The 19201-nt window shown below is 39.3% G+C and overlaps 1 protein-coding gene across 4 annotated transcripts in view; it reads right to left on the bottom strand.

Annotated features, from left to right (window-relative positions):
• SCAMP1 (secretory carrier membrane protein 1) overlaps window positions 1-19201 on the bottom strand; it is a 120123-nt gene that overhangs the window by 27607 nt on the left and 73315 nt on the right. For 3 of the 4 annotated variants that reach the window (NR_110885.2, NM_004866.6, NM_001290229.2), the window contains one exon: window positions 3099-3200. The exons of the other annotated variant lie outside the window; for it this stretch is intronic. Coding sequence is in view for 2 of the 3 variants with exons in the window: in NM_004866.6 (NP_004857.4) it covers window positions 3099-3200 (102 nt within the window). In the remaining variant the exon portion in view is untranslated. The remainder of the gene's footprint in view (window positions 1-3098; window positions 3201-19201) is intronic. 4 annotated transcript variants of the gene reach the window in all.

Genomic DNA, 19201 nt, shown 5'->3' with positions numbered 1-19201 from the left:
CTACAAAATGGGAGAAAATTTTCGCAACCTACTCGTCTGACAAAGGGCTAATATCCAGAATCTACAATGAACTCAAACAAATTTACAAGAAAAAAACAAACAACCCCATCAAAAAGTGGGCGAAGGACATGAACAGACACTTCTCAAAAGAAGACATTTATGCAGCCAAAAAACACATGAAAAAATGCTCATCAGTGGCCATCAGAGAAATGCAAATCAAAACCACAATGAGATATCATCTCACACCAGTTAGAATGGCGATCATTAAAAAGTCAGGAAACAACAGGTGCTGGAGAGGATGTGGAGAAATAGGAACACTTTTACACTGTTGGTGGGACTGTAAACTAGTTCAACCATTGTGGAAGTCAGTGTGGCGATTCCTCAGGGATCTAGAACTAGAAATACCATTTGACCCAGCCATCCCATTACTGGTATATACCCAAAGGACTATAAATCATGCTGCTATAAAGACACATGCACACGTATGTTTATTGCAGCATTATTCACAATGGCAAAGACTTGGAACCAACCCAAATGTCCAACAATGATAGACTGGATTAAGAAAATGTGGCACATATACACCATGGAATACTATGCAGCCATAAAAAATGATGAGTTCATGTCCTTTGTAGGGACATGGATGAAATTGGAAATCATCATTCTCAGTAAACTATCGCAAGAACAAAAAACCAAACACCGCATATTCTCACTCATAGGTGGGAATTGAACAATGAGATCACATGGACACAGGAAGGGGAATATCACACTCTGGGGACTGTCGTGGGGTGGGGGGAGGGAGGGGGGAGGGATAGCATTGGGAGATATACCTAATGCTAGATGACGAGTTAGTGGGTGCAGCGCACCAGCATGGCACATGTATACATATGTAACTAACCTGCACAATGTGCACATGTACCCTAAAACTTAAAGTATAATAAAAAAAAAAAGAAAAGAAAACTAAATGTGCAACATCCATATAATCCAATAATTACACTCTTGGGCATTTATCCCAGAGAAATGAAAATTATGTTCACACAAAAATCTATTCACAAATTTCATGGCAGCTTTATTTGTAATAGTCCAAAACTGGACACAATACTGATGCCCTTCAACTGGTGAACAGTTAAATAACCTGTGATACATCCATATCATAGAATACTACTCAAAAATAAAAAGGAGGCCAGACATGGTAGCTCACGCTTGTAATCCCAGTATTATGGAAGGCTGAGGCGGGCAGATCACACGAGGCCAGGACTTCAAGACCTGCCTGGGCAACATGGCGAAATCCTGTCTCTACTAAAAATAGAAAAATTAGCTGGGCTGGGTGGCAGGCGCCTGTAATCCCAGCTACTCGGGAGGCTGAGGCATGAGAATCACTTGAACCGAGGAGGTGGAGGCAGTGAGCTGAGATCATGCCACGGCACTCCAGCCTGGGTGATAGGGCGAGACTCTGTCTCAATCAATCAATCAATCAATCAATCAAATTAGAATAAACTACAGATAAACATAACAACCTGGATAAATCTCCAGAAAATAACACTGAGGGGAAAAAAGCCAAAGGTTGTAGACTATGATTCCACATCTATAACCTTCTTGAAATGACAAAACAACAAAAATGAAGAACACATTAGTGATTGCCAGGGGTTAAGGAGTGGGAAAAGGGGAGTTTTGAGAGTGGCTATGAAAAAGCAACATGAGGAATCCTCTGGTGATGAAAATGTGCTTTATCTTTACTATCAATGTCAAGATCTTGGTATTTATATTTTACTATAGTTCTACAAGATTATTACCATTGGGTGAAACAGGATAAAGGGTACCTGAGATTTCTGTGTTATTTATTATGATTGTATGTGAATCTATGATTACCTAAAAGTAAAAAGTTTAACCTAAAAAATCTGAACTACATGAGGGTCTATCTTAAAACAGGTCAATTCTGTATGCACCCTCATTAGCAGACTCTTTTTACGCTATTTAGTCACATACATGCTGTTATGCTCAATTTTAGCATTTTCCCTATGTCTGTGCTAAAAAGCGAAAGAAATTACCTCACTTTCACGAGAATTAAAAAAACCTCGTGCTGTTAAAGTAAGCAGTATATTTTTAATTAAACATTTAAAACATTTCCTTTCCCTAAAATACCAAAAACTAGACACTATTTAAAATAATAATAAAAACTACTTTATCTGAGAACTGATTTTAAATATCTATATAAATTTTCTGCATGTATTTATGCCCATTAGGAGCTCTGCAGAACTGCCAGGAGTTGTCTGCCAATCACTTCTCCACTTCAGTAGCAGAATACTAAATGTAAGTCCTCAACACATTCTAATTAAATGCTAATTTCAATTTTGGTTTAATGTACACAGTGGAACAAAGTTGCATCACACATTCTTCTGACATGTAAGAATACAGCTGAATGCAAGTCAGTATAAAAGAAAGAAGAGAGGAACAGATAATTTTAGAGATGTGTACTCTTCCACCCACCATTTCACTCAAGGAATGTTTGCATCAGAATGTAAAGAGAGACCTAAATCTGCTATTACCTCCTAGCCTGGGTCCAGATAGTCTCCATTTCTGAGGTCCCCCACTGAATGAGCCATGAGAATGATTCGATTGTTTAAAGATATATGTATATAACGTGTGTGCAGTTATTCTACCTTTCAAAGACAAGTGTCCATGTATATTCGTATATAAAAATATATCTGTTTGTATACCTAAAATAGGGCTTTATACATAATAGGTATCCCTTTTCCTTAGAATCCCTGAAGCTCTTTCCTGTCCCTTCCACATTCCTTGGTCCCTCTATCTCTCTGACCACCTCAGTCTCTTTTGCAGTCTTCCTCTTAGCGCCCTTACATACATGTTTTATTTAAACTAGAAAAAATGTGCTGTTTTTATAGATGGGAACATAATCTTCAAAGACACAGGTTTGTCCAAAGTTTATGCCTTATGACATTTTAAAATTGTATTTTTAAAACAATTTTTGCTTTTTATTTAATTTTTCTAATCTGGTTTATCTGTGTTAACTAGATTAGGAAGCCAAAAATTATATTACAATATTAGATTAAAGCTGAAAACTAGTAAAAAAAAAAACTTACCAATTGCCCCAGTTATGAAATCCTGCAGCTTGGAGTACATGTACAGCAAACTGACAAATATAGACGAAGAAGAATACAAAGAATCTAAATGAACTGTCACTCCTTTGAAAAAAAAAAAGAAAGAAAGAAAAAAGGGGGTTAGGGGGAGAGAAAGAAGGGGAAAAACGTCATTTTTCTCATTATCTTTACATTTACCTGCAGAATGACATTCAAACCTTAAAAGCACAAACAAAAAAAAGTGGCAACCACCTGAGGCCTCAAGTTAACAACATTGTAATAACTTATGTGAACTCGTCATGCTAACACTAGATATCGTTATTCTAACCTCACAAGGACAAACTTTCAATTTCCAACTGCACCACAATCCCTCTTGACAAAAAAACTTACTCGTTTTCTTCTTTTATTAAACAGCATCATAGAATTACAATCAACACACAATGAATTGCAAATATTTAAAATATCGCTTTAATAATTTTTGACATATTTATATACTTGATTCCCCAATCACTATGATGAGCATATCCCCAAAGTTTCCTTGAGCCCCTTGGTAGCCCCACCCTACCCACTGTTTTTCTGTTACCATAGTTTGACTATTTTATAGAATTTTATATAAATGGGATCATATATTATGTAGTCTTTTTTCCTTGTCTGGCTTATTTTACTCAGCACAGCTATTCTGAGATTCACCCAGTTTTGTGGCATGTATCAAAAGTTCATTCCTTTTCATTGCTGAGTAGTATTCCACTGTGTAAATATACCACAGTTTATTCATTCACTGTTGGGACAGTTAGGTTGTTTCTAGTTTTTTATTATTATAAATAAAGTTATTATTGTTATTATTCATAATAAAGCTATTATTAATAGTCATGTACAAGTCTTCCCATGAACATATATTTCCTTTTTCTCTTAGGTAAATACCTACAAGTGGGAAGGCTGGAACATATCATAGGTATACGTTTAACTTTTTAAGAAACTGCCAAACTGTTTTACAAACAGGTTGTTCTATTTTTATTTACATTTTCTTTTTTTTTTTTGAGACGGAGTTTTGCTCTTCTTGCCCAAGTTGGAGTGCAATGGCGCAATCTTGGCTCACCACAACCTCTGCCTCCCAGGTTCAAGCGATTCTCCTGTCTCAGCCTCCCGAGTAGTTGGGATTACAGGCATGGGCCACCATGCCCAGCTAATTTTGCATTTTTAGTAGAGAGGGGGTTTCTCCACGTTGGTCAGGTTGGTCTCGAACTCCCAACCTCAGGTGATCTGCCCGCCTCGGCCTCCCAAAGTGCTGGGATTACAGGCATGAGCCACTGTGCCCAGCCTGGTTGTTCTACTTTTCATCCCCACTGGCAGTACATGAGTATTCCAGCTCCTCCACATCTCATTAACACTTGTTACAGTCTTTTTAATTCTAGCTATTGTAATAGCTGTACAGTAATATCTTACATGGTTTTAATTTGCATCTTCCTAATAAGTAATGTTGTTGAGCATCTTTTTATGTGCTTTTTGTCATATATAGATCTTCTTTCATGAACTAATTAAAATATTTTTCTGATGTTGTAATTAGATTGCTTTTTCCTTTATCGTTGAGTTGTGAGAGTTTTTAAAACTATATTCTAGAAATACAAGTCCTCTTTCAGATATATCCTTGACAAAGATTTTCCCTCCGTCTGTTGCTTGTCTTTTCATTCTCTTAAGAGTGTCTTTTGGGAGCTGGTGTAATGGTTCACACCTGTAATCTCAGCTATTTAGACATTGAGGCAAGAGGACTGCTTGAGGCTAGGAGTTTGACATGAGCCTGGGCAACATGGTGACACACCCATCTTTATTTTAAAAAAAAACAAAAAAAAACAAAAGGGAAGAGGAAGAGGAGGAGGAGGAGAAGGAGGAAGAAGAAGAGGAGGAAGAAGAGGAAGAAGTAGTAGTAGCAGTAGTGGAGTAGGGGGAAGGGGGAGGGGGAAAGGAGGAGGGAGGGGGAGGGGGAGAGGAGGGGGAACGGGGAGAAGGGGAGGAGGGGGAAGGAGAGGGGAGGAGGAGAGGAGGGAGGAGGAGAGGACGGGGGAGGAGGGGAGGAGAGGGAGGACAGGGAAAGAGGGGGAAGGAGGGAGGAAGGGGGAAGGAGGCAGGAGGGAGAAGAGGGAGGAGGGAGAAGGGGGAGGAAGGGGTAGGGGAAGGGGGGCAGGGGAGGAGGGAGGGGAAAGAAGGGAGGGGAGGGAGAGGGGGAGGAGGGAGGAGGAAGAAGAAGAAGAAAGTTTCTTTTGAAAAGGAGTTTTGCCTTTTTACGAACTCCAGTGTATTCACGCTTGTTCTTTTATATATCTTGATTTTACTGTTGTTTCTGAGAAATCTGCCAAAGCCAAGAATGCAAAGATTTTTTTTTTCCTGTTTTTTTCTAGGAGTTTTCTATTTTCAGTTTTACATTCAAGTCTATGTTCTTTTTTGAGTTAATTTTTTAAAATATCATATCAAGTATGAAGTTCTTTTTTGCATATGGTTATCCAATTGTTCTAGCAGCATTTCTTAAAAAGACTGTCCTTTCTGCATTACGTTCCCTTTGTACCTTTCTCAAAATTAGTAGTCTGTCTATGGCTGGGTTTATTTCTGGGCTTGCCATTCTCTCCCACTCTTCTATTTGTCTACCTTTTTGTCAATATTATACTATTTTGAAGTTTTCTAGTAAGTCTTCAAATTAGGTGGTGTTAGTCCATCAACTTTATTGTTCTTTTTCAAAGTTGTCTTGACTATTTTAAGGTTTTTACATTTCTACAACCAGTATAAAACATGGCAATGAGTTAACATGAATACATTAAAGCAGTGGTCCCCAACCTTTTTGGCACCAGGGACCTGTTTCGTGGAAGACAATTTTTCTACGTATGGTGGGGTGGGATGGTTTCAGGATCAAACTATCTCAGATCATCAGGTATTAGATTCTCATAAGGAGCATGCAACCTAGATCCTTTGCACACGCAGTTCACAATAGGGTTTGTGCTCCTATGAGAATCTAATGCCACTGTTGATGTGACAGGAGGCAGAGCTCAGGTGGTAATGCTCGCTAGCTGGTGCTCACTTCCTGCTGTGTGGCCCAGTTTCTAACAGGTCACTGGCCAGTACAAGCCCACAGCCCAGGGGTTGGAGACCCCTACTCTAGAATCAGCCATTTCCCCTGAGTCACAAAAGAGCAAATTTTAATGGTTCATTAATAATGTTTTCTATGTCAGTCAGATTTAAACTAAATGGTTCCACATCTTATTGCAGCAGTACTATATTACACCAAAGCTGGTATTAATGACCATACAGCTGAGAAAAAATTATTAATGAAAAATAACCAATATCAAAATCTACAATATAAAATGCTATTTTTATAATACTGAATAGAAATCCTATGTATGACTCATATCTCCAGGGATACTATAGAACACATCACTTTTAATACTAATTTTTCTTTTACTATTTTGAAACAGACACTTCTAAAGTATATTTCTATTTCCCTGTCCCTCTGGCAAAGAATGAAGAATATAACTTAATATTATATTTTTTTCACTTAGAGTTTTTACTATTTTGTGTGCCAAGAAACCAGACTATTAAAATATTTTACATTATAAATATATAAAGTATGTGCTCTAAAAAGGGGCTGAATAATGTCTACAGCCTTCACAACAGCTATGTCCATTACCTTGTTCCAAATTCTTAGACACATTCTAGAAGCTGAAACTGCCTAACTGTAATTTCTAGTTAAGAAATCTATTAGAAGATACTGAATATGTTTTAAAAATTAAGAAGTCCTACTCAAAAACTATTTCTAAAATATTGCTTTCAAATACAAATGGAGGTATGTTAAAACTAGTCCACCTTCCTCTTTCTGTATGTACAGTTAGTACACACAAATGCACAGTTAGTGTACAAAACTGATCAAATGAAAACCTCAAAGTTTACTTTTGTCTAGTTTTATTTTAAATAAAGCTAAATAAAAGATATTAAGCAGGTTAAATATCATTCTCAAAGATTGTATTTATTTCATTTTACCAACTTTTCTATTTCTGAATAAGGAGACAATAAAATTCATTTCATTGCACACTGACCGTTAATACGAATAATTATTTTAAAACACTTCAAAGTTCTCTAAGACATAAACTCCATATCCCAGCACTTACTTAACTACCTAGACTCTTATCTCCAAGAGAGCACAAATCTTCCTTTACCTGAGCTGTCCAAATTACTGCAAATGCAAAATCAGTCAAATTCAAAACAAAATGAAGCAATACAATCATCACGTGAATATCAAGTTCCTTTCAGATGCTTGAGGGAAGGGCAAGGAAAAGCTGAGGAGCTCTGGAATAGCCAGAAGACACCCAGGAGAGCTGTACCTTAGCCAGAATCAGAAAAGGTCCAGGAAAAAAAAAAATACATCATCAGGGGAAGAAGAACTTCTATTGGCATTCAGAAGGTGGGTCTTGCGTGCAGGAAGAGACCAGAAAGCAGACTGTTTAAATCAGCTTGAACATAGCCATTTTAAACCAAAGAACAGAAATATAGATTTAAAAATAAAAACACTATACATTGATTTAACCTATGTGAATTAAATTGTAATCTGCCTCAGTTTACGATAAAGTATTTACGGTATCATGGATATTTATTCATAATAAATCCACCTAAGTAATGTATTTTCTCATCAGAACACATAAATAAAAGCTCTCTACTACTTGCCATCCTGGCTCTTTCAGATCAAAGCCTACTGGAAAACTGAATTTCAAATAAGCAAGTAGTTTTTGGTTTAATGTCTTCCACAGTCAAGCTGCAGCACAATTTTAATAGAAAAGTTCTTCCCTGAAGTATGATAATAAATCTCAGAAAATAAGCTTATTTGATCTTGTAAAGTTTATTTCACATGCCAAATCAATACCAGAGATATTAATTACAACTACCATTTGCTGGGATGGGAAAAGACAAAGTATTTCATTATTTCAAGGGCTAAGATGGGGGGACACAAGTTAACTAAAGCACACCACTAAATGTATTTAACTCTGGCAACTCAACATAGCAGATAAGAGAACATGAATTTACAGATTTGGGTTTGAATCCAGACTCTCCCACTTAAAGTTGTGTAACTTTGGGCAAAGTATTAAGCCTGAGATTTTCCATTTGCAAAATGGGGGTAACAGTGGAACATGCTTTTATATAAATAAAATACTGCAGGTAAAGTGCTTAGCTGGGAATGCATAGGCACACAGAAAGCAACTGATAAACATTACTTGTTGATACCTGTATTACACTCATGTAATACTGTATCAAAATAAACTGTTTTGCTCACAGAAGTAATGTCCTGCTCACAGAAGTGGCATTAGGCTATTGATAAGATACTGAAAATTTCTGGAACATGGTTGCTAACAATCAAGACTACTAGAATCAAGTAATACAAGAAATTATTGATGGTGTACAGGCATTAGAATAAAAAGAAACTGATAGAATTTGGCTGTGTCCCCACTCAAATCTCATCTTGAATTGTAGCTTCCAGAATCCTCACATGTCATGGGAGGGACCTGGTGGCAAGTAACTGAATCATGGGGGCAGGTTTTCCTGTGCTGTTCTCATGAAAGTGAGTAAGTCTCACAAGACTGCATGGTTTTATAAAGGGCAGTTCCCCTGCACACACTCTCTTGCCTGCCACCATGTAAGACATACCTTTGCTCCTCCTTCCCCTTCTGCCATGATTGTGAGGCCTCCCCAGCCATGTGGAACTGTGAGTCCATTAAACATCTTTTTCTTTATAAATTAACCAGTCTTGAGCATTTCTTCATAGCAATATGAAAATGGACTAACACAGAAACCTAAGAAGTACAGGTGCTTTTCTTGTCTTATTTGGGGGCTCCAAAACTGTCTAAACCAGCCCCATATTCCCTCTTTAGTAACTTTATGCTGAAATGAATTCTTTCTCCAGAATAGGGAGTCTATTAGTAGGCTTGAAAGGCAGCACTATGAACTGCCCCTTACCACAACAGTGCAAAAAAAATTTGCATATGTGTTTTTTTGGAAGAAGATTCGAAAATTCTAAATTTATAATAGAGTCTATCTCTTAAAATCTATTAAGAGCTGGGCACAATGGTTGACGCTTGTAATCCTAGAACTTTAGGAGCCAAGGTGGGAGGTTCGCTTGAGCTCAGGAGTTCAAGACCAGCGTGGGGCAATACAGTAAGACCTCATCTCTATTAAAAATAAGAAAAATTAGGTGTAGTGGCACATGCCTGTAGTCCTGCCTATTTGGGAGGCTGAGGCAGGAGGATCATTTGAGCCTGGAAAATAAAGCAGCAATGAACAATGGTTGTGCTACTGTATTCCAGCCTGGGTGACAGAATGAGATCCTATCTCAAAAAAAAAAAAAAAAAAAAAAAAGCAAAACCACTCACTAGTCTGGCTAAAAAAGCACAGGACTGGAATGAAAGAGACTCTGAACTCTCTTCTTCCCACCTATGCTTTGTCAAAAGCACAGGGGTCAATGAAAAAGCTCACATTACATGAAGTTTTAAACCTGAACAATATCAAACCTAGACCACAACCTTGGTGCAAACTCTGAATCCTCTATACTTAACAGACTTAATAATAGCTAATATTTTTTGAACATTATTTGCCAAGCACTATGTCAAACACATGTATTGCCCATTCAAACCTTACAACACCCACGTGAGGCACACTAATATTGACTCCATTTTACGGATAAGCAAACAGATTTAGAGAGGTCAAATAATCCAAATACATAGCTGGTAACAGAAATGCTGCTACTTATCTGTGCATCTATTAAGGTAAAATTCTTTTTTTTTTTTTTTTTTTTTTTTTGAGACAGAGTCTAGCTCTGTTGCCCAGGCTGGAGTGCAGTGGTACGATCTCAGCTCACTGCAAGCTCTGCCTCCAGGGTTCATGCCATTCTCCTGCCTCAGCCTCACGCATAGCTGGGACTACAGGCACCCACCACCACACCCAGCTAATATTTTTGTTTTTGTATTTTTAGTAAAGACAGGGATTCACCGTGTTAGCCAAGATGGTCTCGAACTCCTGACCTCATGATCCGGCTGCCTTGGCCTCCCAAAGTGCTGGGATTACAGGCATGAGCCATGGCACCCAGCCTTAAGCTAAAATTCTTAACCAAGTGATAAAACTACCTCTAAGATAATATTTCAATTCCATCATCTCCAAGAAATTTAATTATCAAGGAATAGAACACCACTAGCTAAAGTATAATAACCCCAAATGCTCAATGCAGTGTTTCTTATATATAGGAGAATATAACAACTAAAATCTCACATTTGAATTGATACTCAATGTAGAAAGCTTAAACAGACAAAATCAGCCAGTAGATAACCATTTTCAAATTACCTTTGAACAAAAAAATTAAATAAAAGGAAAACGGAAATCAACATTGATTAGGTCCTAGGTCACAAATGGACTGTTTCCAAGCTATTACATAGGCTATGCTCTTATAAAACAAAACTCAGCCGGGCGCGGTGGCTCACACCTGTAATCCCAGCACTTTGTGAGGCAGAGGGAGGCAGATCACCTGAGGTCAGGAGTTCGAGACCAGCCTGGCCAACATGGTGAAACTCTGTCTCTACTAAAAATACAAAAATTAACCAGGCATGGTTGTGGACACCTACTCAGGAGGCTGAGACAGGAGAACTGCTTGAACCCAGGAGGCTGAGGTTGCAGTGAGCAGAGATAGAGCCACGGCACCCTAGCTTGGGCAACAGAGAAAGACTCTGTCTCAAAACAAACAAACAAACAAAAAACTCAAACATTTTTCTGCAAATAAGCCTCCATGATACCTATCTGAACAGAGAATACTAAACAGTACAAGTTTGAGTTTTCAAACATCTAGAATACCACATCATGAAACTATTTATCATGCTTTTTTCCTTCTTTTTTTGAGACAAGGTCTTACTATGTCACCCAGTCTAGAGTGCAGCAGCATGATCACAGCTCACTGCAGCCTCAACCTCTTGGGCTCAATCAATCCTCCCACCTCAGCCTCCCGAGTAGCTGGGACTACAGGCACATGCCATGACAACCGACTAATATTTGTACTTTTTGTAGAGATCAGGTTTCACCATGTTGCCCAGCCTGGTCTCGAGCACCAAGCTCAAGCAATCCTCTCCTCTTGGCCTCCCAAAATGCTGGGATTATACACATGAGCCACCACACCCAGTCACCTTTTTGCTTTGAGACAGAGCCTCACTCTGTTGCCCAGGCTGGAGTGCAGTGGCTCAATCTTGGCTCACTGATCTTGGCTCACTCCGCCTCCCAGGTTCAGGCAATTCTCTTGCCTCAGCCTCCCAAACAGCTGGCATTACAGGCACGTGCCACCATGCCTGGCTAATTTTTGTTTTGTTTTGTTTGTAATTTTAGTAGAGACGGGGTTTTGCCACATTGGTCAGGCTGGATTCAAACTCCTGACATCAGGTAATCCGCCTGCCTCGGCCTCCCAAAGTGCTGGGATTACAGGCATGGGCCAGCGTGCCCTGACCCAGCCAGCTTTTTACTAATACCACTTGAAAAGTTTAATATTAATTCTCTTGATGGTCCTATCACTCTTACACTTGAAATTTCCTAACTATTTTAATCATATACTTTGAAACATCATTTTCCCCCCTAAACTCTTCAATAAAGTGTTAACATAACTTCAAACCCTAAATCAACTATCAAAACTTTATAGTGATCCGTTTGAAGACGGCCAAATAGGAACAGCTCTGGTCTGCAGCTCCCAGCATGATCGACACAAAAGACAGATGATTTCTGCATTTCCAACTGATGTACCTGGTTCATCTCACTGGGACTGGTTGGACAGTGGGTGCCACCCACGGAGGGTGAGCCGAAGCAGGGCAGGGTGTCACCTCACCTGGGAAGTGAAAGGGGTCAGGGAATTCCCTTTCCTAGCCAAGGGAAGCCATGAAAGATGGTACCTGGAAAATCGGGACACTTCCACCCTAACACTGTGCTTTTCCAATGGTCTTAGCAAACGGCACACCAGGAGATTATATCCTGTGCCTGGCTCGGAGGGTCCCACGCCCACAGAGCCTTGCTCACTACTAGCACAGCAGTCTGAGATCGAACTGCAAGGTGGCAGCAAGGCTGGGAGAGGGGCGTCCACCACTGCTGAGGCTTGAGTAGGTAAAGAAAGCTGCTGGGAAGCTCGAACTGGGTGGAGCCCACCACAACTCAAGGAGGCCTGCCTGCCTCCGTAGACTCCACCTCTGGGGGCAGGGCATAGCTGAACAAAAGGCAGCAGAAACTTCTGCAGACTTCAATGTCCCTGTCTGACAGCTTTGAAGAGAGTAGTGGTTGTCCTAGCATGGAGTTTGAGATCTGAGGACGGACGGACTGCCTCCTCAAGTGGGTCCCTGACCCCAGAGTAGCCTAACTGGGAGGCACCTCCCAGTAGGGGCCAACAGACACCTCATACGGCCAGGTGCACCTCTGAGACGAAGCTTCCAGAGGAAGGATCAGGCAGCAACATTAGCCGTTCTGCAATATTTGATGTTCTGCAGCCTCCGCTGGTGATACCAAGGCAAACAGTCTGGAGTGGACCTCCAGCAAACTCCAACAGACCTGCAGCTGACAGTCCTGACTGTTAAAAGGAAAACTAACAAACAGAAAGGACATCCACAACAAAATCCCATCTATACATCACCATCATCAAAGACCAAAGGTAGATAAAACCACAAAGATGGGGAGAAACCAAAGCAGAAAAGCTGAAAATTCTAAAAATCAGAGCGCCCCTTCTCCTGAAAAGGAACACAGCTCCTCACCAGCAAGGGAACAAAGCTGAACGGAGAATGACTTTGACGAGTTGAGAGAAGAAGGCTTCAGACGATCCGTAATAACAAACTTCTCCGAGCTAAAGGAGGATGTTCAAACCCATCACGAAGCTAAAAACCTTGAAAAAGGATTAGACGAATGGCTAACTAGAATAAACAGCATAGAGAAGACCTTAAAAGGACCTGATGGAGCTGAAAACCACGGCACGAGAACTATGTGATTCATGCAAAAGCTTCAGTAGCCAATTCGATCAAGTGGAAGAAAGGGTATCAGTGATTGAAGATCAAATGAATGAAATGAAGTGTTGGAGAAAAAAGAGTAAAAAGAAATCAACAAAGCCTCCAAGAAACATGGGACTATGTGAAAAGACCAAATCTATGTCTCATTGGTGTACCTGAAAGTGACGGGGAAAATGGAACCAAGTTGTATAACACTCTAAAGGATATTATCCAGGAAAACTTCCCCAACCTACCAAGGCAGGTCAACATTCAAATTCATGAAATACAGAGAACGCCACACAGATACTACCTGAGAAGAGCAACTCCAAGACACATTATTGTCAGATTCACCAAGGCTGAAATGAAGGAAAAAATGTAAAGGGCAGCCAGAGAGAAAGGTCAGGTTACTCACAAAGGTAAGCCCATCAGACTAACAGCAGATCTCTCGGCAAAAACCCTACAAGCCAGAAGAGAGTAGGGGCCAATATTCAATATTCTTAAAGAAAACAATTTTCAACCCAGAATTTCATATCCAGCCAAACTAAGCTTCATAAGTGAAGGAGAAATAAAATACTTTACAGACAAGCAAATGCTGAGAGATTTTGTCATCACTAGGCCTGCCTTACAAGAGCTCCTGAAGGAAGCACTAAACATGGAAAAAAACAACCAGTACCAGCCACTGCAAAAACATGCCAAATTGTAAAGGCCATCGATGCTAGGAAGAAACTGCATCAATTAACAGGCAAAATAACCAGCGAACATCATAATGACAGGATCAAATTCACACATAACAATATTAACCCTAAATGTAAATGGGCTAAATGCCCCAGTTGAAAGACACAGACTGGCAAATTGGATAAAGATTCAAAACCCATCAGGGTGCTGTATTCAGGAGACCCATCTCACCTGCAGAGACACACATAGGCTCAAAATAAAGGGATGGAGGAAGATCTACCAAGCAAATGGAAAGCAAAAAGAAGCAGGGGTTGCAATCCTAGTCTCTGATAAAATAGACTTCAGATCAACAAAGATCAAAAGAGAGAAAGAAGGCTGTTACATAATGGTAAACAGATCAATTCAACAAGAAGAGCTAACTATCCTAAATATATATGCACTCAATCCAGGAGCACCCAGATTCATAAAGCAAGTCCTTAGAGACCTACAAAGAGACTTAGACTCCCACACAATAATAATGGGAGACTTTAACACCCCACTGTCAACATTAGACAGATCAACAAGACAGAAGGTTAACAAGGATATCCAGGACTTGAACTCAGCTCTGCACCAAGCGGACCTGATAGACACCTACAGAACTGTCCACCCAAAATCAACAGAATATACATTCTTCTCAGCACTACATTGCACATATTCTAAAATTGACCACAGAATTGGAAGTAAAGCACTCCTCAGCAAATGTAAAAGAACAGAAATCACAACAAACTGTCTCTCAGACCACAATGCAATCAAACTGGAACTCAGGATTAAGAATCTCACTCAAAACCGCTCAACTACATGGAAACTGAACAACCTGCTCCTGAATGACTATGGGGTAAAAAACGAAATGAAGGCAGAAATAAAAATGTTCTTTGAAACCAATGAGAACAAAGACACAACGTACCAGAATCCCTAGGACACATTTAAAGCAGTGTGTAGAGGGAAATTTATAGCGCTAAATGCTCACAAGAGAAAGCAGGAAAGATCTAAAATAGACACCCTATCACCACAATTAAAAGAACTAGAGAAGCAAGAGCAAACACATTCAAAAGCTAGCAGAAAGCAAGAAATAACTAAGATCAGAGCAGAACTGAAGGAGATAGAGACATAAAAAACCCTTCAAAAAATCAATGAATCCAGGAGCTGGTTTTTTGAAAAGATCTACAAAATTGACAGACTGCTAGCAAGACTGATAAAGAAGAAAAGAGAGAAGAATCAAATAGATGCAATAAAAAATGATAAAGGGGTATCACCACCGATCCTACAGACATACAAACTACCATCAGAGAATACTATGAACACCTCTACACAAATAAACTGGAAAATCTAGAAAAAACAGATAAATTACTGGATACATACACCCTCCCAAGACTAAACCAGGAAGAAGTTCAATCTCTGAATAGACCAATAACAGGCTCTGAAATTGAGGCAATAATTAATAGCCTACCAACCAAATAAAGTCCAGGACCAGACGGATTCACAGCCGAATTCTATCAGAGGTACAAAGAGGAGCTGGTACCATTCCTTCTGAAACTATTCCAAACAATAGAAAAACAGGAAATCCTCCCTAACTCATTTTATGAGGCCAGCATCATCCTGACACCAAAGCCTGGCAGAGATACACACAAAAAAAGAGAATTTTAGACCAATATCCCTGATGAACATCGATGCAAAAATCCTCAGTAACATACTGACAAACTGAATCCAGCAGCACATCAAAAAGCTTATCCACCATGATCAAGTGGGCTTCATCCCTGGGATGCAAGGCTGGTTCAACATGCGCAAATCAATAAACATAATCCATCACATAAACAGAACCAAAGACAAAAACCACATGATTATCTCAATAGATGCAGAAAAGGCCTTTGACAAAATTCAACAGCGCTTCACGCTAAAAACTCTCAATAAACTAGGTATTGATGGGACATATCTCAAAATAATAAAAGCTATTTATGACAAACCCACAGCCAATATCATACTGAATGGACAAAAACTGGAAGCATTCCCTTTGAAAACCGGCACAAGACAAGGATGCCCTCTCTCACCACTCCTATTCAACATAGTGTTGGAAGTTCTGGCCAGGGCAATCAGGCAAGAGAAAGAAATAACGGGTATTCAATTAGGAAAAGAGGAAGTCAAATTTTGCAGATGACATGATTGTATATTTAGAAAACCCCATCATCTCAGCCCAAAATCTCCTTAAGCTGATAAGCAACTTCAGCAAAGTCTCAGGATACAAAATCAATGTGCAAAAATCACAAGCATTCCTATACACCAATAACAAACAGAGAGCCAAATTGTGAGTGAACTCCCATTCACAACTGCTACAAAGAGAATAAAATACCTAGGAATCCAACTTACAAGGGATGTGAAGGACCCCTTCAAGGAGAACTACAAACCACTGCTCAACGAAATAAAAGAGGGCACAAACAAATGGAAGAATATTCCATGCCCATGTATAGGAAGAATCAATATCGTGAAAATGGCCATACTGCCCAAGGTAATTTATACATTCAATGCCATCCCCATCAAGCTACCAGTGACTTTCTTCACAGAATTGGAAAAAAACTACGGTAAAGTTCATATGGAACCAAAAAAGAGCCTGCATTGCCAAGACAATCCTAAGCAAAAAGAACAAAGCTGGAGGCATCACACTACCTGAGTTCAAACTATACTACAAGGCTACAGTAACCAAACAGCATGGTACTGATACCAAAAGAGATATTTAGACCAATGGAACAGAACAGAGGCCTCAGAAATAACACCACACATATCCAACCATCTGATCTTTGACAAACCTGACAAAAACAAGAAATGGGGAAAGGATTCCCTATTTAATAAATGGTGCTGGGAAAACTGGCTAGCCAGATGTAGAAAGCTGAAACCGGATCCCTTCCTTATACCTTATACAAAAATTAATTCAAGATGGATTAAAGACTTAAATGTTAGACCTAAAATTATAAAAACCCTAGAAGAAAACCTAGGCAATACCATTCAGGACATAGGCATGGGCAAGGATTTCATGACTAAAACACCAAAAGCAGTAGCAACAAAAGCCAAAATAGACAAATGGGATCTAATTAAACTAAAGAGCTTCTGCATGGCAAAAGAAACTACCATCGGAGTCACCAGGCAACTTACAGAATGGGAGAAAATTTTTGCAATTTACCCATCTGACAAAGGGCTAATATCCAGAATCTACAAAAGTCTCAAAACAAATTTACAAGGAAAAAACAACCCCATCAAAAAGTGGGCAAAGGATATGGACAGACACTTTTCAAAAGAAGACATTTATGCAGCCAAAAGATACATGAAAAAATGCTCATCATCACTGGTCATCAGAGAAATGCAAATCAAAACCACAATGAGATACCATCTCACGCCAGTTAGAATGGCAATCATTCAAAAGTCAGGAAACAACAGATGCTGGAGAGGATGTGGAGAAATAAGAAAGCTTTTACACTGTTGATGGGAATGTAAATTAGTTCAACCATTGTGGAAGACAGTGTGGCAATTCCTCAAGGATCTAGAAGTAGAAATACCATTTGACCCAGCCATCCCATTACTGGCTATATACCCAAAGGATTACAAATCATGCTACTATAAAGACACAAGCACACGTATGTTTACTCCGGCACTATTCACAATAGCAAAGACTTGGAACAAACCCAAATGTCCATCAATGATAGACTAGATTAAGAAAATGTGGCACATATACACCATGGAATACTATGCAGCCATAAAAGAGGATGAGTTCATGTCCTTTGCGGGGACATGGATGAAGCTGGAAACTATCATTCTGAGCAAACTATCGCAAGGACAGAAAACCAAACACTGCATGTTCTCACTCATAGGTGGGAACTGAACAATGAGAACCCTTGGACGCAGGGCGGGGAACATCACACAATGAGGGGTTGGGGGCTGGAGGAGGGATAGCATTAGGAGAAATACCTAATGTAAATGATGAGTTGATGGGTGCAGCAAACCAACATGGCACATGTATACTTATGTATCAAACCTGCACGTTGTGCACTTGTACCCTAGAACTTAAAGTATAATAAAAAATTAAAAAAAACCTTCATATTGTAGGTCATGTTAATAAGCCTGCAGGCTGTAATCCTCTGTAAGAAATAAAGCTCTCCTTTTCTATATTTATAGATCTCATGATTTAAGTCAACACTATATATAACTTATATTTACATATGTATGAAATAAGTAAACATGTTTCATCCTGCTCTGTTCTACCTCTAAACTACTCTTAGATACACCATACATGTTTCTGACATACCTACTGTTGCTGTTCTAGAATAATGCTACCATTTATCCATATTTCCTTTTAAAAATCAGATGTGTACAAAATATCCAGCTAATAGAATACACACAGAATCCAGAATCCAGAAATGATTCATCAAAAAGTATTTTTAAAAAGGTAATCTCATTCCTCTTATGTTATTTTTATACTTATTATAAACCTCAAATACTGTAACAGTAACAGGGATTTTCAAACTGGAAGCTAACACTTCCTTCTGCATCACAGTTTTTCAGAAGGAGATATCTGACAGTAGTGATTTACTCTGAAGTGCAAATGATGCCATATAGCACAAGAGGATTATCTTCACAAACAGGTTTACCTTTAAAAAGAAAACTCATAGATGTAAAAACAAAATGTTAAAAAATTTTTTAAAAACCTTATAGATTGTAAAAAGAAAAACTAAAGTGCTTTTAAAACTTCTGAAGAAGGAGGAGGAAAAGGAAGGAAGAAAGAAGGAAGGAAGGGAGGAGAGGGAGGAGGAAGAGGAGGACCACCAAGTAAATGTATCTGTGTCTAAGAAGGAACTTTCCTATATCTCTCAGATGTAGTAGGGGAAGGCTTCAGCTTAGGACGTAGAAAAGTGGAAAAGACCACTGTTTCTAACTCTCATAACAAACATTCATTTGCAAAATCACAGCTTAACACCCATCAAAGGGCAAACAACCCCAAAAATAACTCAAAGAGAGATAAAAGACTAGCACTTGTTTACCTGGAACAGACAAGCAAAAAGGAATTCAGCTAAAGCTTGTGATGCATTGCTCTAAGATGAAAGGTTGGTTAGAGAGAGTACAGAACCCCCAGGAGCCAAAGCTACATGGGTATCATCACTCACTCACAGGCTCTTCTCCACAGATCTCACCAGGTGCTCAGAAGAAAGACAGGAGGCTGGCCTCATTCAGGGTACAGGTCTTGGGGAGGCAAAGAGCAGCCACCAAAACTCCCCTTTAACTCTTCCAAACAAAAGCTTTATGTGGGAGGTAAAATGGGATAGCAAAGCCCATTTTCCTCAGGGCACAGCTAAAGACCCACTGCAGCTGGGGAAAGGGCACAGGAAAAAAAATCCT

Source organism: Homo sapiens, chromosome 5 (genome assembly GCF_000001405.40).
Source record: "Homo sapiens chromosome 5, GRCh38.p14 Primary Assembly".
NCBI classification, from domain to species: domain Eukaryota; kingdom Metazoa; phylum Chordata; class Mammalia; order Primates; family Hominidae; genus Homo; species Homo sapiens.
The sequence above is the reverse complement of the archived record's forward strand: the minus strand, read 5'-3'. Positions and strand labels throughout refer to the sequence as shown.